Source organism: Homo sapiens, chromosome 8 (assembly GCF_000001405.40).
Source record: "Homo sapiens chromosome 8, GRCh38.p14 Primary Assembly".
Lineage (NCBI taxonomy): Eukaryota > Metazoa > Chordata > Mammalia > Primates > Hominidae > Homo > Homo sapiens.
Window position 1 is genome coordinate 34,224,981 of NC_000008.11, and position 21,862 is coordinate 34,246,842.

The following is a 21,862-nucleotide window of genomic DNA, read 5'->3' on the forward strand; positions in this document are numbered from 1 at the left end:
CTGAGTCAGTTTTTCTCCCATGGGTCAGAAAGAGATTATAGATAATAAGTGCTGATTTTAATATTAATTTACAGAAGTAAATAAAGTCATTTTTTCTTTGAAATGGTATCTTCCTTTGCAGGTTTTGTTGAATGTTGATGCAATATCATTTGCCATAAATTTGGTTCTGGGCATAGTCTTTCAAGTAGGAGGGAGAATTTTTGTTTGGCACCTGAAGCCAGTTGTTTATTGGTGTGTGTGTGAGCATGAAAAGCAATTCCAGGGGGTGGGAGGAGATACAAAAAATTAACCTCTCATTTTGGAGGTTATACAAAATCCAATTGACATTTTTAAAAACATCTAATATGCACGCAGGTACTTTCTGGGCTCAAACTGGCAGTCAAATATCACAAGAAAGGTTATTCTTGTTATTTCAAAACCTGCTTGAACCAAGAAGCATTGTGTGTCCTTGGGGAGGGGGTATGGGTTCTAATTAAGCTCATCGTGGTTTTCTGTTTAATTAATTAATTACTTAATGTTTGTCAAGTGATTTGAAGATGCTAAATGAAATGTATGTGCTGCTTAGTATTATTCATGAAAAGCAAATAAGACATTAATCCTTTTCATTTCCTCCTAAGTATGTTACCTAAGCTGGCTAACTTTTATGAGCCCTAAGTACAGTTGCCCTCTTATAGATTTGTAAAATGCGTAATACAAAGAAAATGTGTAAATTCGAGCACAGTTTCTAAGAACTAGATGATATATGTTGCTCTATCATTTTAGCTAGCCTATGTTCTCTAATTTTATCAGTGATAAGTTGTCTACATAGAATAAAATATAAGGGGTGTGTACGTGTCTAGCGGTGTTTTACAGTGTTCTTGGCATTAAGTAAACTTGAGAATTGTATGAGAACCTTGAATTTATGCACTAATCTAAAAGGATGCACTAATCTAAAAGGCTGGTATGAATGGAGAATTGTTTTTCCTTGGTACCTTTCACTGAAAATTTTAAATAGAGTAGATATTTTCCCGTATATTCCACTTAATGCTGTTAGTAATAAAAGGAAAGTTCAGTCTATTTGGAGTCAGTTAAATTCTGGACCTTGCTGTGACAGTGCTCATGAATATAGAACCAAAGAAAAATACTTGTGACTTAAAAAACACACATGCATATGACAGTGTAGAAAATGAAGGGTGACTATGACAGCTTACAACTTTTTGGGGCTCTCCCCAAACCATGTCTTCCATTCATCACTAGATGTTTCAGTACCAAGAGACACCAAAATACACCAAAAGAGCAGCTTAGTAGCAATTTTTGAGATGTTGAAACATGTTATCTTTGTTATTGAACCTAGTATAGCTGCAAATCATGCTTTAAATATAAAATTGCAGAAGGTTTTGCAACTTTTAAATCTTTTCTTGTCATTTTATGTTTCTGGTGTTAAATTTTGCTGTGTTAATGTCATCTTCACTTGGTAATATTTACAGCACCTAAATCAATGCTGAAGACACACAGAATATTGAAGGATCAACTCTACTTCTTCGAAATATACTTTAATACTTTCACTGCCAAACCAGAGTTCAAGAAATAACTGCGGTGGAATGATAATGAGAAGTTTAACAGTTTTATGATGGTTGAAGCTGACTTTATGAAAGTTGATAAATTTCATCTTGTAGGTTTCAATTTCTCATTCCCTACCGAGAGATGGGGAGAATACATTGACACTGCATTTCAAATTGGCTAGATCAGAAGGAACAGCAGCTAAAATCCATTACAACCCAATTACATCCATCAGCTGAAGCTGTGTGCATTCACTTGTGAACATCAGCATTTAATCCATAAAGAGGAACTAATGAGAAATTTGAAAATGGAATCCACGCATCAGTAAGTTTAGAGAGATTTTTCTGGGATTAATGATCTGCCAGAGCATCTTCAGCATTCTGGAAAGCTATTCTCTCTGGGTTTGTTTACTGACCAAGAGAAAAAAAAAGGGGGTTTCCTTCTGTCTGCTCATCAAATATTTGAAAGACTACTCATTTCAGTCCTTGAAAATGGGATACCGTGAGCTTTGGAAGTAAGGTACGTGTTGGTGAACACTGTTGTCATTGAACAGGAAAAATTAAATTATTAGGTGAGAAGTTTCCACCTAGAGATTAGTAACAAGTAGCCTGAACAAATTATTTTACCTGTATAGATGCTAAGACAGATGTGTTCTTTTAATTTAAGACCTGAGAGCATGTTTAGAGTTGCACGTAATGGCAATAATTCTATGTTGTAGAAATAGAGAAATAGTTTTTATTTTTCACTTTTGGTGATTGCATGGATAGAAATAAATATTCCTCTTGTCGAATTGCAATTGCTTAAAGAGTAACAAGGAAGCTTAGAGAGAGTAGAGTATAAACTTGTTAACAATTGCATAACTTCACATGTACAATTTCTGAGTTAATAAACATATAGTTTGTGAAAAGTTAACACTGGATGAAGCTTTAGAATGCTGTGCAATTTCTTCTCATCTGGTGAAAACGGTTTCTGTAAGCATACAATTTAGGGATGTTACTATATCCGAGGTCTGGCAAATGTAGTCATCAGATTAAATAAATGTATATGTGGACTGTGGGGGATTGGATCCCCATGTTTGGAAAGTAATTTGGTTCAATTTGTTGCTCTTTGGAGAGAAGGTAAGTGTGTAGATTTCATATTCAAATTACATCAGACAGTATGACTTGTTCCTCTGTTTCTATAGTTCCTGAAGTATGCCTCTCTAAGTGTGAATACAGCACCTCATGATATTGATGGCTTTAATGGAGGTTAAAACATAAGAAATTAGAGTTGTTATTTTTTTTGCTTATGCAAAATTTCAGAGAGAAGTTTAATTTCATTCTATCTTTAGAAAAATAAATAGCAAAGGGAATACACAGAAGTGTGACCCTTGTATTCTGGGCACAGGGAAGCCATTGGAGGATTTTTAGTGGAGAGATAACACACAGGTATTAGAAGGATTACTCTGGCTGCAGTGGAGACTAGATTGGGGTAAGACTGTAAATGGAGAGTGCAGAGAGAACAATGAGGCTTTTTCTGTTTTTAAAGGAAGAGAGTATTGGTGGTGGCAACAATATTGGGAGAGGAGACATGTTGAAGGATATATGAGAAGTAGAGCTGACAGAACTTGGTTGTTGAAATACCGGATGTTGTTTTTAGAGCAAGTGGGTTATTGGTGGTTCCATTTACTGCGAGAGAGGTACTGGGTAAAAGGGGATTAGTCATGGGAGTCCAGGCTATCTTCTTGGCCTTTGCTGATGGGCATGGGTACAGGGCTGTTATTTTTTTGTGGTATTGGTCTGCAGTAGGGTACCTATTACCTTAAAGTTTGTTTTGCTAGCCTTTGCCTTTTGTGTATTTTGGCTTGAGAGAGCTGGCTTTCCATGGGGTGATTTTTGTGTGCTATTGTTGCTGTTTCCAAATTGCTAGCTTGCCATCACACAGTCTGAGATACATGAAGCAAAAAGCAAAATCAAGAAACTCATGTAATTCCTTGAGTTAAGGGTCTCAAATGGTATGTTTTTTTCCTCCAACTTTGGGAGTCCTTTTATGATTGTTTTATACCTAGTGTCCTGGATTTTTAGTTGTACTTAGAAGGAGGAGTAGGGAAATTTACTTCTACTCTATTTTGTTCTGAAACTGCAAGTAACTTAGGATTTCTTGAGCTAGAAACAATTATAAAAGAACTAAGGAGGAAGAGACTAATACAAAAAACAAAGTTCCATTACTGCCTGAAATACTGACCCTTCACATTTAAAACTAAGATTATTATATATTTATCTAAGACTCACTTTTCCAAATTTCTAGCATTATCAGAAACACTAGTCTGTAAGTTCTGCTTCAAAAATAATCTGAAGAAAGGCCATAACTGTGTGTTAGGAATAAGAGTTCCATTATTCTAACATAAGATTAAGATTGCTCTGACTTATGATAAGAAAAGAAAAAATTATTGATTTTGATAACATCTAAACATGACCAACATTTTATTAGAAAATCAAAACATTAGAGAGAAATTTAATATAATTTTAGTATAAAGTCAAATAGGTGAACAAGCATGGAAAATACACATAAAAGGTAACTGGGACTCATTTGGTGGAAATACAAATTACAGCACATCAAGGCCATTGGTGAACAATTATTTATTAAGTGTATTTTTTCTGATTGAGCAGTTCTGTAAATATTTGTGTATGTACTTTTATTATTAAATATATTCAAATATTTACTCATATATAGTCTATGTTGCTATGGAAAGGAACAGAGATGAGAGAGAGAGAAACAGAGGAAAAGAGAGAGAATTAGTGGATTAAACAAGAAGGAAGAAAACATTAAAAAAATAATTCCAGAGGAAGGTGGATGTTCCAGGATGGGTGAATGGCTCAGCTCCATGAAGTTCTGAGCAATTCTTTCTCATTGCTTTACCAGTTCTGAAGGGGTTGCTATTTTTTGCAAGGTCAAGTCTGGGTCAAGTCTGGCTTCCTGAAACTATAGCCTGGTGTTCCATCCTATAGAAAGGGGGAAAGAGAAAATGGATGTCAAGCATATGTTTCCAAGTAAGTCACATGGATTTGTATACATCGTTTCTACACACATTTCGTTTGATGATAACTTCTTTCCCTCACTGACCATTTCCCTAAGGATACTACCCCAAATTCCATTCAGCTACAGTATGCAACTAGAAATTTAGGATCTGTGAGTGATGTGCAATCCTTTCTATATGCTCCAGAATTGGCTCCTGGTTAACTAAGGGGATATAAACTAATATCTGTTCCCACTCCTCACACATACCCAGTATGCAACAGATAGTTGCTTTAAACTCTCCCCATAAATAAAAGGAAGAATTAGAGGCACACCACAGAGTAGTCACAGGTTTTCAAGAAATCCTCTTGCCTCAGCCTCTTGAGTAGCTAGGACTACAGTGCATGCCACTATGATTGGCAAACTTTGTTATTTTTTTTTTTTTTTGTAGATATGGGGTCTTGCTATGTTGCCTAGGCTCATCTTGAACTTCTGGGGTCAAGCAATCCTCCTGCCTTGGCCTCCCAAAGTGCTGGGATTACAGGTGTGAGATGTGGTGCCCAGCCAGTAGTCATAGTTTATAGCAATGAAAAAACTCTACTGGCAAGGAAGGGTGAAAAACCTCTGCCTTGGTCTAAATTCCTTGATTGAATGCTGGTTGTGTTGTCTGGGAGGAATTTCTTTGTACAAAAATCCTCATTGCTCCCAGCTTTGCCCTCTTGGGGATTCTTGTCTATTATTATCTGTGGCTATGTCTGAAATCGGTGTTGGAGAAAATGCCCTTCCTGGGTTCTGCCCAGCATTCCCAGCCTACTTTCTGCACACGCCTTTGGGAGATAAGCAGGTTGCTTTATTCATGTAACAATTATATGGCTTTGAAGGCCAGGGTTGTAGTTGCATTGGTAAAGTAATTTCCTCAAAACTTACCAGAGTTCTGGTCTGTTTACCTCCAGACACTTTTATGTGAAAGTTAAAATAGCCATTATCTTGTCTGGTCATGATTCTGAGCATATTTACTAACTGTTCTCTCTGCTTAACTCACTTCTGTCTTTCTCCGTTGAATGGTGGCTATTGTGAAGCAATGTGAAGCAGTAGGCTTAGGCATGGAGGTTAATCAGTCTCTAGTTGCCAGCAATCACAAAATCTCAGTGGCATACAACAGGAAGCATTCATTCACTCATGTGTCTACTACTGGCTGAGCTTTAGCTGATCTAGGCTGTGTTCAGCTGGATGACTTAAATCTAAGCTATGGGGTTGAGGCCATGTTTATTTCATCCTCTTTGGGTAGCATGTTAGCAGAGGTTCCCCTAATGGGACTTGCAGAAGACAGCCTCAAATATTTGCTATGCTTCTCAAAGCTTATGCTTAGATCTAGCCACTACCACTTTTTTTTTGGCGGAATATATATATATACAGACACACACATATATATATATGTATATATTCCTTTGTGTCTTCTAGTTACAGGAATTTGTAGTCACAGCTTGATTCATAGCACAGATCTTATTTATCTTCATTTCACCTACAGGCCCTACCACAGCCTTTATTTTTTAATTTTTATTTTTTTTTAATTTCCATAGGTTTTCGGAAACAGGTGGTATTTGGTTACACAAGTTCTTCAGTGGTGATTTGTAAGATTTTGGTGTACCCATCACCCAAGCAGTGTACACTGAACCCAGTTTGTAGTCTTTTGTCCTTCACCCCTGTCCTACCCTTTCCCTCCAAGTCCCCAAAGTCCATAGTATCATTTTTATGCCTTCACATCTTCATAGCTTATCTCCTACTTATGAATGCAAACATATGATATTTGATTTTTCCATTCCTGAGTTACTTCACTTAGAATAATAGTCTTTGATCCCATCCAGGTTGCTGCGAATGCCATTACTTCATTCTTTTTTATGGCTAAGTAGTATTCCATCATTTATATAAACACAGATTCTTTATCTGCTCATTGATTAATGGGCATTTGGGCTTGTTCCATATTTTTGCAATTGCGAATTTGGCCACTATCACTTTTGTCCACATTTCATTGGCTAAAGCTGGTCACATTGCCAAGCCCAAGGGGAAATGGGAGAACATGCCCACCTTTAGCATGACGGATATCAAATCATATGACAAAGGACACAGGGAAATAGATACATCTACCACAAGGAACAACACCATTTTGTCTCTGACAGAGGACATTCAATGGGAGCTTCTCTTATTCTTGTTGTTTAACTGTTCCAAACTTCTAAGCCCTGAAATTTCTAGCCTGTCAGTCAAGTTAAGTGAAAGAAAAGTCTCCTTTGAGTAGCTGTATTTCCTCCATTACTGCTTGTAGAGGTACACTTTCCTGACTTTCTCTTACCTACTTTCTTAAAAGTATCAAGGAGAAGGTAACACACACAAATATTCCAATCACTTTCTTAGCCAATATCACATATTGTATGTATTATTTTGACCCCAGCCTATGCTCCACTACCTTGGATACCAAATACTCTAGATGTTAATGTTTGGTGAAGGAAAAATCATTCCAGGTATTGTGAGAATTTAAAATAAAAGAATTTAATACAGGGAACTCAATACTTCCATAAGACATAGAAGAATAGGAGTCTGGGCTACCACTGCTTTAAAGAATTTAAGGACAACTGTTACAGCTACAATCCAGAAATCAGGAGACTGTAGCTGTTGCCATAGCACTGCCTGTTAATACAGGAAAAGCTGGTGACCAGAGGCAAATGCTGAGTATGCCACAAGTAAAGACAAACATCATGTTGACCTTGGTTGCTCAAAAAACAAACAAAATAAATAAATAAATAAAATAACAAGAAGTTGTCCTTGCTTTAATTAGCCTGTACAGTATCTGCATCAGCACACTGGCTAAAATCTATACACATGCAAAATCCTAGCTAAAGGTGAGGCAAATCTTTGAAATATACTTTTCTCTGCAGTTCAAGAAGAGGCAGAGAAGAGGGTGGGGAAGGTGGCTATTTGCCAATGGACTATATCTGGTATGTACAACAAAGGAAGCAATATCATCTCTCAAATCCTGAAATTGGGCTGTATTATGGAATAAATAAATTAGAAAATCAAATGATAAAAGATGGCCAATTTTATGCATAAAGAATTAGCAATGAAGAAAATATCAATGATATTTCATAAAAGAACTCTGTATTGTATCAGAAATCAAGAACACATATTTCAAAAAATAAATATATATACCATCATGGAGAATATTTAGAAATGTATATATTTTCATGGATTTTTTATATGTACCTCTCAGAAGAGATTAAGAGAATCTACAAATTTAATGACAATCATAATTTAATCAAATCTAGAAAAATGAAAATGGTGCAAATTCATAGTTGACACTTTTTTGAAATTTATTTTCATTAGTTTTGATAATCTTATCTGAAATGCTGATGTATCATTATAATAGAATACATTAAGTATTAGAAGGAATATTATTCATCTTTAAAAGGAGGACAATAAACTTGGATTTACAGCAGCAAGCACTGATTTGAATCAATATTTTAGTATCAAATATCACTCTAATATTTTTCAGTATAAAAATGCAATGAGAGGCTGGGCATGGTGGCTCCTGCCTGTAATCCCAGCACTTTGGGAGGCTGAGTTGGGTGGATAACCTGAGGTCAGGAATTTGAGACCAGCCTGGCCAATATGGTGAAACCCTGTCTCTACTAAAAATACAAAAAGCCGGGTGTGGTGGCACATGCCTGTAGTCCCAGCTACTCGGGAGACTGAGGCAGGAGAATCGCTTGAACCCAGGAGACGGAGGTTGCAGTGAGCTGAGATGGTGCCACTGCATTCCAGCCTGGGCAACAGAGCGAGACTCTGTCTCAAAAACAAACAAACAAACAAAAAAAAGAAAAAAATGCAATGAGATAAAAAGGGCTCATCTTTATTTCTATTTAAGAGAGCACTGTTGTTGCTGTTAACTGTTTATGTTTCTATTCATTTTCGTATGAATATATTGACGTATGTGATATACGTAGCTTGCCATTTTTTCTTGGATTTTTTTTCAATTGACAACGTTCGTCTTGACTAATATTAAATATTATTTTTATTCTTTTATAGGCAGTACTCAATACACAAACATACATGCACACATCTCCTTAAACTTCATAGCTAGAAGGGAAATACTGGTAAAATGGTTCACAGAATTTAAATTTTCATTGTTCCATCAAATAGCCTTTAAAATTATCAATTTATATTTAAAAGAAAGAGAATAAAAGTACTTTATTTTCTATATACTGCTAACACTAACTTAACCAAATTTCCCAATGTTTGCCAAATTTATAAAAACCAAAATTATTATCATTGAGGTTTTAGTTTGCATTACCCTTATTATCAGTGAAGTTGAATAGCTTTTCACATTTTTATCATGTTTTTTTCTCTTGTTCTCGAAATTGCCTGTTTATTACAATTTGCCTTTTGGATTTTGAGGTTTTAACTTTTTAGTAACTTATTAGAACTATAATAGATGTGGATGTATATAAAATATGCTCATATATATGGTCATATATATATGGTCATATATATATAGTCATTTATATATGTAAATAAAACAAATATCTTGCCACATTTTCCTTTTCCTGTTTCAGTTTGCTTTGCAGTGATTTAAAAGATTTCTGTGCTCAAATGTCTCAAGTATATTAATCTTTTCCTTTATGATTATTGTGATGCTTAGTACCATAATTATAGATAACTCTTCTTTAATTCACGAATTTGAGTGATATGTATTTTTAATCAACTAATAATTTACATACAATAAAATGCACATTTTAAATATATAGTTCAATGAGTTCTGACACAGATATATGCCTATTTAACCAAATTCCTAATCAAGGTAGAGACTATTTCCATAATCACGGAAGCCCTTGGCATCGGATAGCAAGTCAACCCTTGCTATTCCCTGCTCCAGTCAACCACTGAATAGATTCTATAAGAATAGATTAATTTCACCTATTCTAGGATTTTATGTAAATGAAATCATGCAGTATGTACTATTTTATGTCTAATTTTTTCCCTCAGCATAGAGATTTTCAGATTTATCCATCCATGCTACTGCATTTATCAGTAGCTCATTTCTTTTTATTTCTGAGTATTGTTCCATATCATGAATGTAGCAGTTTAGTAATACATTCACCCGTTAGTGGACATTTGAATTGTTTTCAGTGTTTACTATCATGAGTAAAGCTGCTGTGAACATTTATATATAAATGTTTCTGTGAAATGTGTCTTTATTTCTCTTGGGAAAAGACCCAGGAGAGAGATTACTGAGATATATGGTAAGTAGATGTTCAGTTTTATAAGAAATTGACAAAGTTTCTCAAAGTGGTTGTACTATTTTACACTACAATCAGAAATAAATGGGTTCCAGTTGCTTCAAATTCTTGTCCTCACTTGGTATCACCTTTTTTTTTTGTCATTCTAATAGGTGTGAAATGATTTCAATTTGCACTTCCTTGAAGATTAATAGAATTGAGCAGCTTTTTACGTGCTAATTGGCAATTTGTACATCATCTTTGATGAACTGTCTGCTCAATTCTTTGTCTATTTACTTATTTATTTATTATTTTTATTATTATTGAGATGTAAGAATCTACCATATATTCTAGATTTTAGTATTTTGTCGGATAGCACAAATATTTTCTCCCAGTTTGTAGCTTATCATTATATTTTTAACCACGTATTTTACTTTTTAATATATAATTTAAAATTTGCCCTTTAAATCATAATTTAAATTAAAATTTATAATTTAAAGTGTAATCATTTTTAAGTGTACAATTCAGAGACATTAATTACATTCACAGTGTTGAGCAACCATCAGAACTATGTATTCCCAAAACATTTTTATCACTCCAAACAGAAACTCTATAAACTTTAAGCAATAACTCTACATTCTTCCTGCCTCCCAGCACCTGGCACCCTTTAATCTATTTTCTGTCCCAATGGATTGTCTATTCTAGATATTTCACGTCAGTGCAATGATACAATATTTGTGCTTTGATGTCTGGTTTCTTTTGCTTAGCATAATGTTTTTAAAGTTTATTCATGTTGTAGCATCTTTGAGAGATTTATTTGTTTGTTTGTTTGTTTATTTATTTATTTATTTATTTTGAGATGGAGTCTTGCTCTGTCGCCCACGATGGAGTGCAGTGGCGCTGTCTCGGCTCACTGCAGGCTCCGCCTCCCAGGTTCACGCCATTCTCCTGCCTCAGCCTCCTGAGTAGCTGGGACTACAGGCGCCCGCCAACGAGCCCGGCTAATGTTTTGTGTTTTTAGTAGAGACGGGGTTTCACCATGGTAGCCAGGATGGTCTCGATCTCCTGACCTTGTGATCTGCCCGCCTCGGCCTCCCAAAGTGCTGGGATTACAGGCGTGAGCCACTGCGCCTGGCTTATTTCCTTTCAATGGCTAAATTATATGCATATTATGTGATATATATGTATCACATAACATGGTTATAAATAGCACATTTTGCTTATCCATTCAACATTTGGGTTGTTTCTGTCTTTTGGCTACTGTAATTAATGCTGCAAGGAACACTGGCATTCAAGTACTATACCTGTTTGAGTCCTTGTTTTTAATTCTTTTGGGTACATACCTAAGAGTGGAATTTCTAACTCATATGTAATTCTATGTTTAGCTTTTTGAGGAATCACCAAACTGTTTTCCCTAGTAGCTGTACCACGTTACATCCCCATCTGTAATGTATGAGGGTTCTAATTTCTTTACATCTTCACCAACACTCATTACTTTACTTTGCTTTTAGATAATAGCCATCTAATGAGTGTGAAGTGGTACTCATTGTGATTTTGATTTGCATTTTTCAAAGACTAGTGATGTGTTGAGCATCTCTTCATATGATTCTTGGCCATTAGTATATCTTTATGGAAGAAATGTCTACTGAAGTCCTTTACCCATTTTTAAATTGGATAGCTTGTCTTTTTGTTGTTGCATTATAGTAGTTCCTTATATATTTTGAATATTAAACTCTCATCAGATATATAATTTGCAAATATTTCTCCCATTCCATAGGACATTTTCACTTTCTTTATAATGTCTTTTGATGCACAAAAGTTTTAATTGTGATTATGTCCAAATTATCTATTTTTCCTTTGTTACCTAAACCTTCGTTGTCAAAGCTAAAAATTCATAGGAAATCCATTGTTATAAATATTTATGTTATGGCTGGGTGCGGTGGCTCACACCTGTAATCCCAGCACTTTGGGAGGCCAAGGCGGGCGGATCACAAGGTCAGGAGGTCGAGACCATCCTGGCTAACATGGTGAAACCCCGTCTCTACTTAAAAAAAAAAAATACAAAAAATTAGCCGGGTGTGGTGGCGGGCGCCTGTAGTCCCAGCTACTTGGGAGGCTGAGGCAGGAGAATGGCGTGAACCTGGGAAGGTGGAGCTTGCAGTGAGCTGAGATCGCACCACTGCACTCCAGCCTGGGCGACAGAGCGAGACTCTGTCTCAAAAAAAAAAAAAAATTTACGTTATTATGTTTTCTTCCATGAGATTTATGGTTTTAACTCATATATTTAGGTCATTGATCCATTTTGAGTTACCTTTTGCATATGCAGTGGGAGTTAGGGATCCCACTTCATTCTTTTGCATGTGGAAATTCAATTGACCCAGCACCATCTTTTGAATGTGCTATTATTTCCCCATTGAATGAACTTGATAACCTTGCCAAAAATTTTCACAGGTCCTTTAATACAATACTAAATAAAAGTAGTGAGAGTAAATATCCTTACCTTATTATCAATCTTAGGGATGCGTTTGTTTTCAACATTAAATATTGTGTTAACTGTAGATTTTTTGTACACGCTGTTTATCGTGTTGAGGAAATTTCTTTCCCTTTCTAATCGGTTTGTTTGTGTGTCTTGAAGAAGTGTTAAAGTTTTCCAGATAAATCTTTTATGATTTATTAATCTTGTTTTTTTGAGAATTAAGGAAAATATGTTAAGGTCTCCTAATTCCATTAACCTTCCCTTACACTGTCAACATTTATATATACATATATATATTTTATATATATTTGTGCATTATGTTCAGCATATATATATGCACAAATATTCATAATGCACAAATATTTCTAAAATTTATGTCTTTATTGTAGAATATATTATTTCTCAATAAAATGCTATTTCTTTTTGAATATTATTTTTAAATAATTTTTAATACTTCTAATAAGTATGGTATTAATATTATATATTTCTGTCTCTTTTTGTCTCTCTCTGGCATCTCTTTCCAACTTCTTTTTAATTCAACATTTCTTGTAGACAGTATGTCTTTTTATTTAATCTGAGACTTTTTTAAATATATGCTTTAGGTTTAATGTCAAAATTTATGAACATAATTAATATGTGTGGTGTAATAGGTACAATGAAAGAAAGAAAGGAACTTGGCACTGCAGAGATAGAGAACACACAGCTTTTCAAGAACAAACAGAACATATAAAAATAGATCAAGAATTATGTCTGCAAAAAAATTCCAATAATTCCTAAAACAAAATTAATATAGTCCATATTCCCTGAATATAGTGTAATAAAATTAGAAGTTTAAAACAGCTCTGCAGGTAGAACTTCAGAAATGATCCTCTAAATAAATTGTGGTATAAAGACAAAGTCTAAACTAAAATTAACAACTATCTTGATGCTAAAAGACATTAAAGGCAGCATCTGTCAAGAGTTATATTATCTTGCAAAAGTGGTACTGAGCTAAAAAGTTATAGCATAAAAATGCATATACTTTAAAAAATAAAGCTAATAAATTATGCATGTGAAGTAAAAACCTAGAAGAGAAAAAAAGTAAGAGTAAGAAAAATAAAAGGAATTACTAGAGATAAACATAGAAACTAAATTGCAAACAGAAATAAAAAGTAAAGATGATCAAGAAAATTAAAAACAAACTTTAAAATTATCAATAAGATGGCCAAACTTAGATACTTTCACCAGTTAAAAATACAAACAAATAATGCCAGGAATGAGAAAATAAATACCATTTTAGATATAGAGGCAACCTTGTATTAGTCCATTCTCACACTGCTATAAAGAACTACCTGAAACTGGGTAATTTATGGAGAACAGAGGTCTAATTGACTCATAGTTCTGCAGGCTGTACAGGAAGCATGGCTGGGGAGGCCTCAGGAAAGTTACAATCATGGTGGACGGCAAAGGAGACACAGGCACATCTTACCATGCTGAAACAGGAGAGAGAGAGCAAAGGGGAAAGAGCTACACACTTCTAAACAATCAGATCTCATGAGAACCCACTATCACGAGAACAGCAAGGGGGAAATCTGCTCCCGTGATGTAACCACCACCTCCCACCAGGTCCTTCCCCCAACACTGGGAATTAAATTCAACATGAGATTTGGGTGATGACACAGAGCCAAACCATATCAAACATAAGTACGGTTTATGTTATAAATTAAGCATCTTAGTAAGAATTATTTGCTAGTGACACAAATGACAAAAGTTCACCTAAGGAATAGCAGAAATATTGATAATGTCAGGGGAAATATTGAGAGCTTATTGCCCACGATAAAGGGAAATCAGGTGCAGGATGTTTTATGGGTGAGGCTAACTGTACCTTTATAGAGATAACTTCTTTGTTATGTAATGTTTTTCGACTGACATAAAGAAATAGAATTTTTTTAAAATAATTTTATGGGAGTAATATAACACTGATATCAAGATTTAACAAAAAAAGCACAGAAAAGAAAACTTGTGAATACAGATATGAAAATTATAAATGAACTATTCACAAATTAATTTCAGGAATGTGTTAGCAGACTAATATTAATACATTATGCCCAAAAGGTGTATACTGGGAGTGCAAAAGTATTTCAAATTATGAAACATGTGCATTAATTTAATTAGTACATTAACAAAAGAGAACAGTGAATAAACATCTCAATATGGATGAATAAATGATTTGATTCATTACAATATTTGTTACTGACTCAGAAGAAAGAAGCTCTTAGTAAGCGAGTTATAGAAATATACTCTTGAAAGTGACTTAAAAAAATCTACCAGAAGCCTTAAGAAAACTTCATAAATAATAGTGAAATATTTTAAGCGTGGTAGGTTTAACAATGTCCCCTCCCCGCAAAAATGTCTTAATTCCCGGAACTTGTGAATGTGTTACTTTACGTGTTAAAAGAGGGTTTGCAGATGTGATTAAGTTAAGAACCTTGAGACTGAGAGATTATTCTGAATTATCTGGGTGATAGGAATTTAGACAGAGGTGAAGGCAATGTGATGATGGAAGCAAGCAAGAGGTTGGAGCGTTATGAAGAAGAAGCGTTGACCCAAGGAATGCAGGTGGCTTATAGCAGCTGATAGAGACAAGGAACAGATCCTCCCTTGCAGAAGGGAGAGCATGTTCCCCTCAGAAGGAACCAGCCCTGCAGACACTTTGATTATAGCCCTGTACATCACATTCTGAATTCAGACCTCCAGAACTGTAAGGAAATACAGTTGTGGTGGGTTAAGTTACAAAGTTTGTGGTAATATGTTATAGTGGTAGCAGGAAAGCTAATACGAAGATAATCTGCAGTAAATCAGAAATAAGAAAAGGTTCCCAGCTACCACGTCAATATTGATGTTTGCTGAAGATGCTATTCCATGCAATAAAATAAAAGCAAAATGTGTGTATGTGTGTGTATATACACATACACACATATATATATAGACACATATACAAGCACATATATATACACACATGACAAAGATAAAGTTATTGTCCACCAAAAGAAAAAAATCAGCAAGAATCAATAAAAAACTGTAAGAACTAGTAAGAGTCCAGGAAAGTAGCCAGATTAAAATAAATCAATATTAAAAAATTAATAGCTTTCTTATACACCAGCAATGATGAATTTAAAATGTAATAGAAAAATGAGTCCATTTAGAACAGCCACAAAACTCATTAAATACTTATGGTTAGGCCTGACAAGAAAACTTGTAAAACCTATTTAGAATATAGAAGTCTATTGAAGGTCATAACACAGGCCCTGAAAAAAAGAAAAAGTTATACTATGTTCTTGGTTAAGAAGTATTCAGTATTTGAAAGAGGTAAACTCTCCCCAAAATTATTCTATATGTTAAAATTTATCTGAAAATTAAACTCTAAATATAATTTCTAAGGAATGTATAGGATTACTTTAAATTCATTATGGAAAAAATATTCGCAAAACACTAAGACAACATTTGAAAGGAAGACCAGTGAGAAACTAATCCCACCAATTATCAAAACATATTACAGAATTATAGCAATTTAAACAGTGTGGTTATTGCAGGAAACAGTAAGAAAATTGATGGTACATAATATAGAGTTCAGAAATATTCATGTTTTTATAATGATTCAACTTATAAAAATGGATGGACTATATCACATTGATATTTTGACAACTGATTATCAATCTGGAAAGTTTTATTTAGCTCTCTGTATAACCTCACTAGAAATAATGTACTATGGGCAGGTTAAGAAGCTAAATACTGAACAAGTCTCTGAAATTTTGGAAGAAAATACATGAAAATATTACGTATCTTGGAACTGTAATGCTTTTCTAATAATAATACAAATCTAAACATGACAAGAGACATAATCAGCAAACTCAACTGCACATGAATTATAAATTATGTTTGGTTAAACAGATGGAAAAAAATATTTGCACCATGTATGAAAAATAAAGCATTAATCTTAAATACATTAGAATCCTACAAAACAACAAGAAAGGATAGACAGGTTAATAGAAAAATAAGCAAAGGATTTGAAGCAATTTACACACACATACTGACACAAATACAGATGTCAACATTGGTAGTACTCACATTAGATTAGCAAAAATATAAATAAATGATAAATAATTAAGGGCTGGCAAGGTGTTCTGGTTATAATTTACTATGTGACAAATTACCCCTAAATTAACAGCTTTAAGCAACGAATGTTTATTACCTCATTGTTTCTGTGGATCAGGAGTCTGAGAGGTGTTTGGCTGGGTGTTCCTCACTCAAGGCCTCTCATCAGATTATAGTCAAGCTGTTGGCTGGGGCTGCAGTCATCAGGACTCGCCTGGATCTGGATGACCCATTTCTAAGCTCACTCACCTGGTGTTGGTGAGGCTGCAGCTTCTTGTGAAAGGCTGGACTGAGTGTCTCAGTTCCTTGGGTGTGCCATGCCACATGGGCCTCTCTATAGGGCAGCTCACAATATAGCCATCTTGATTCCCCCAGCATGAGAGGAAGGAAGAGAGAAGGAGAGGGAGAAAGAGAATGTGTGTGTGTGTTTGTGTGTGAAAGAGAATGTGTGTGTGTGAGAGAAAGAGAATGAGAATGTATGTATCTGTGTGTGTGAGAGAGAGAAATAATGAGAAAGTGTGTATGTGTGTGTGACAGAGAGGCAGAGAGAGACGGGAAGAGAAGGAGGGAGACGGAAAGGAGATGTGTGTTTGTGAGAGAGAGAGGAAGAAAGTTGGGGAAGGCGGAGAGAGAGAGAGTGAGAATGTGTGTATGTATCTGTGTGCATGTGTGTGACTGAGAAGGAGGGGGAGAAAGAATGAGAGTGAGATTATGTGTGTGTGTGAAAGAGGGAGTGAGGAAAGAGGGAGGGAGAGAAAGTGAGAGAGAGAATGTGAGTGTGAAAGAGGAGGGGCGAGAGAGAATGTGTGAGGAAGAAAGAGAGAAGGAGAGATGGGAAGGGTAGAGGGAGAGAGAGAATGAAAGAGTGTGTAAGTGTGTGTATGTGTGTGTGTGAGCAAGAAGGAGAGGAGGAGAGAGAGAATGAGAATGAGATTATGCACGTGTGTGTGTATATGTGTGTGTGTGAAAGAGAGAGGAAGCCAAGGAAAGAGAGAGAAAATGCGTGTGTGTTGGGGGGAGAGATGACAGAGGAGAGAGAGATGAGTGAGAAAAAGGGGGAGAGAGAGAATGTGTGTGTGAGAGAAGGAGGGAGAGAGAAAGTGTGTGAGAGAGAGAGAGGAAGAGAGATGAGGAGGGGAGAGAGAGAAAGGGAAAGAGAATGAAAACGTGTGTATGTATGCATCTGTGTGTGAGAGAGAGGGAAGGAGGGAGAGAGAATGTGTGTGAGAGACACAGAGGAGGGGGCAAGGGTGAGAGACAAAGAGAATGTGTCTGTGTGAGAAAAGGGAGGGGTGGGGGGAGAGAGAGAAAGAGAATGAGAATGTCTGTATGCATGCCTATATGTGTATGTGAGAGAGAAAAAGGATGGGGGAAAGAGAGAGAGAGGGAGGAAGAAAGAAATTTGGAAGCCACAGTCTATTTATAGCATCCCATCACTGAGATATTCTATTTGTTAAAAGCCAGTCCGTAAATCTAGTCCACACTCACGGAAAGGGGATTACGCAGTATATGAATATTGGGATGCAGGGATCATCGAGACCCATTTTAGAAGCTTCATAATCTTCACTGGTAAATAGGCTATTGGAATTAAGCCAGAGAGCAGTTTGGTATTACCCACCAAAGCTTAAAGGGCACAAACCCTGAACAAAAATTCCTGAAAGTTTTCTTTATAAATCTGTTCCATAGACATATTTGCACAAGTGTTTAAAAATTCATACATAAGAATGTTCCCTGAAGAACTGTATTAGTGAATATTGAAAGCTCCCTCAATTCTAATTTACCATTAAACAAATACAGTTCAATGTATCTAGGAATTTGGTGCAATTGTTGGAGAGAAAGAGGTAGAATTATGTACTGAGAAGGAAAGTACATTAGCTGTGTTCGTTTTTTAAAATTAAATATGTTTTAGCTTATTAAGGAATAATTGATGTACACAAAATTGCACACAATTAATGTATACATCTTGATCAGTTTGGATATAGGCATACACCATGGTACTATCACCACAGCCAAGGTACTAAACATGTCCATCACTTCAACAAATTCAATGTGTTCTTTTATGCGTGTGTGTGTGTGCATGTGTATGTATTTTGGTAAGAACACTTAACATGAGATCTTACCTTCTCAGATTTAAAGTGCACGATACTGTATTGTACTATGTTGAACAGCAAATCTCTAGAACTTATTTATCTTGTATAATAGAAACTTTATACCTATTGAAGAATGACTGCCCCTGCCAATGGCAACCACCATTCTATTTTCTGCTTCTATGAGTTTGACAATTTTAGACACCTCATTTAAGTAGTATCATGTAGTATTTGTTCTTCTGTGACTGTCTAAGCCATATTGTTAAGTGACAAAAGCCAAGTTATGAAACAGTGCCTTTACTCCAGGAGAATCTCATTATAAAAAAAAGAATAAATGCAAAAGTAAAAATAAAGTTAAAAATAGAAATAAGTTTTTATATAGTTATATTTTTAAAATATATTTTACATTATAAACTTGTGAAGTGTTTGAAATTCTTTTGAATAGAAAATTTATAATTAAAATAATTTTTTAAATAAAAGAATATTTATAGGCATAAGTACTTTTAAACAATTACGTTACTAAGAGTACTTTTACTTTAATTGGATCCTAAGAAATTTGACATGATTTAAGTTCAGATAAACATTATTCCAGATATAGACATTTTTCTTTTACTAACTAGATATCAGTTAGAAATTGTGTAATCTGAGATTATGTCTCATATCTATAGTAAGCTTAAGTTCAAATAGTGGAAAAAAATATGTTCCAGAAAGTCATAGATAATATTTATATTAATATCATTTATCATATATCATATATTACATATGATATATATGTAATAATATATCATATAATTATTGATATAATAATATATAATATAATATATATGATTTATTATATACCAGATATATATAATATATTATGAAATATTATATATCATATATTAATATTTATATCAATAGGATTTTTATGAAAATCTCTGTAGGACAATAAGTTGATGGATCATTAAATATAGGAGAACAGCTCAATGGATTTTCCTTCTGATTAAAATAATAATGCTAATAAAAGTAAGCCAGTCAAATTGTATGACAAAAGTTGTTATATACTCTTTCCTCTTTTGTCTATTTATTACTTTTACTATTTAGGTTTCTGTTTTGTTGTAATACAAATATTCTAAAACAAATAATGTTATTCAAATATGAACAAAAATCTCACAAATTGTAGATATATATTTTTAAAAAAGGCAAAACCTCAATTACTGTTGCACCAACCGAATAACTTGATGCGGTTTCACATAATGCACATATCCTGTAACTTACAGTCAGGAGAGACTGAATACCACCAGCACACACGAAACACCTTCATGCACCCTACTGGCCACACCCTATTGAAAAACACTGTCCTAATTTCCAATGCAATCCATTTGAAATGTATATGAACACATTCATACTAAATGCATTATTCTGTGCCTGATTTCTTTTTCTCAGTATTGGGTTTGGAAGGTTCACTTATGCCAAATGACTATTTATCTACACCACTACAGTCAATGGACAATTTGTGTTGTTTCAGTTTTTGGGTACTTGCAAATTATGATTCTGTGGTCACTCTTGATCTTGTCTTTTGGGACTCATATGTGTATCTGTTAAGTATATACCTAGGAAAATGAGAGTATGCATAAGTTGTACTTCAGTGGATACTTTAAAACAATTTCTAAAGTGATTTGTCAACTTACTCTCACACCAGTACCTTCCAGGGGCTTCCTGTCCTCTTAGCACTTTCTACAAGGAATTTGTTTGTTTTTAAGCATTTCTATTGATTACGTTGTGAAATCTCATTTGGTTTTAAGTTACATTTATTTTATCTTCATTATTACTAGCTTTTTACACAATTATTCACCATTTTGATGTCTTCTTTTTGAAGAAATTGATCAAGTCCTTTGCCATTTTGTTTTCAATTTTGTTTTATATCTTCCTCTCATTGGTTTATAGTGGATCTTTATATATTTGGTGAATCACTTATCAGGTAGATATTACAAGTGTCTTCTACCACTATATGACTTGCCATTTTACTCTTAGTAATGCCTTTTGTAAAACACAATTTCTTTTTTTTAATTCTTTTTTTTTTTTTTTTTTTTTTAGTTTTACTTTAAGTTTTGGGATACATGTGCAGAACATGCAGGTTTGTTACATAGGTATACACATGCCATGGTGGTTTGCTGCACCTATCAAACCATCATCTAGGTTTTAAACCCCCCATGCATTAGGTATTTGTACTAATGCTCTCCCTGTCCTTGCCCCCCATACCCCAAACCGACAAGTCCAGGTGTGTAATGTTCCCCTCCCTGCGTCCATGTGTTTTCTTGTTGAACTCCTACTTATGAGTGAGAACATGCAGTGGTAAAACAGAATTTCTTTAATGTAGCCCAATGTTTGCCTAGGTGAAAGGCATTAAGATATCCTTCTTTGTTACATTCTAGTACATGTATTGGTTTACTTTTTACAGTTAGATTTACAATGCACTTGGAATTGATTTTGTATATGGAGTGAGACAGAAATTAAGACATATTTTTCCACGTGGATAATAAATTGACCCAGTATAATTTACTAAAAATACTATCTTTTCCTCACTTCCACATAATGCCATTTTTATCATAAGTCAGATGACTAGCTATGTGCTATTTTTTTTTCTGGATTCTTGATTGTTTTTCAATGCTCTCATTGTTCTCTGTGCATTAATGTAACACTGTCTTATATATTATATTTTATAATATTTTTGATGCAAAATTTGTAGGTATCCCAAATTTGTTCTTCTTTAAAGTCATCCTTGCTATTCTTTGTCCCATGCATACTCATATGAATTTTACATTTATTTTTGTCAATTTTCCTAAATGTTTGTCTGTTTTTATAAAAAAGTGTTTGTTAGTCATATTGTTCAAATATTTTTGTATTTTTACTGATTGGCTGTCTGCTTGATCTATGAATTACTAAGCAGATATTAAAATCTCCCACTGTTATCGTGTATCTGCCTATTTCTATTTTGATTTCTGCCAATTTTTCCTTTTTGTATTTTCAGGCTATACATTTACGGGTATATAAATTTTAAATGATTATATTTTCCTTTTATCATTATGGATTACCCCTCTTTCACTCTAGGAAATTTCTTGACCTAAAAAATCACTTTGAGGTTCACCAACTTTCTTTTGGTTAGTGTTTTCATAATATAAATCTTTCCATCCTTTAATTTGCAACCATTTCATATTCTTATATTTAGGGTGTGTCTCTTGTAAGTTGCCTTCAGTTGTTTTTTTTTATCTCAGTCTCACAAGTATTATCTTTTAATTTAAATATGTATTTCAGTTCTACTTATTTTATTATGACATATTTGAGCTTGAGTACACCATCATACTGTTTGTTTACTATCCCATCAG

The 21,862-nt window shown here is 34.4% G+C and overlaps 2 long non-coding RNA genes across 7 annotated transcripts in view; one reads left to right on the forward strand and one right to left on the reverse strand.

The window, feature by feature from the left end:
• Nucleotides 1-21,862, forward strand: part of LOC105379364 (uncharacterized) — a 535,736-nt gene that overhangs the window by 502,599 nt on the left and 11,275 nt on the right. For 2 of the 5 annotated variants that reach the window (NR_189606.1, NR_189607.1), the window contains one exon: nucleotides 1,467-2,058. This is a non-coding gene — a long non-coding RNA (uncharacterized LOC105379364). Of the gene's footprint in view, nucleotides 1-1,466; nucleotides 4,239-4,440; nucleotides 4,569-6,113; nucleotides 7,344-21,862 lie in introns of those variants that run through there. The other 3 variants (NR_189608.1, NR_189605.1, NR_189609.1) reach the window with 3 other exon arrangements.
• Nucleotides 4,015-17,777, reverse strand: LOC101929881 (uncharacterized). Of its 2 annotated transcripts, NR_189604.1 has the most exons (3): nucleotides 16,508-17,777; nucleotides 13,649-13,782; nucleotides 4,015-4,520 (listed from the first exon to the last, which is right to left on the reverse strand). It is a non-coding gene; the product is annotated as an uncharacterized LOC101929881 (long non-coding RNA). The 2 variants fall into 2 exon arrangements; NR_189603.1 differs by lacking the exon at nucleotides 13,649-13,782.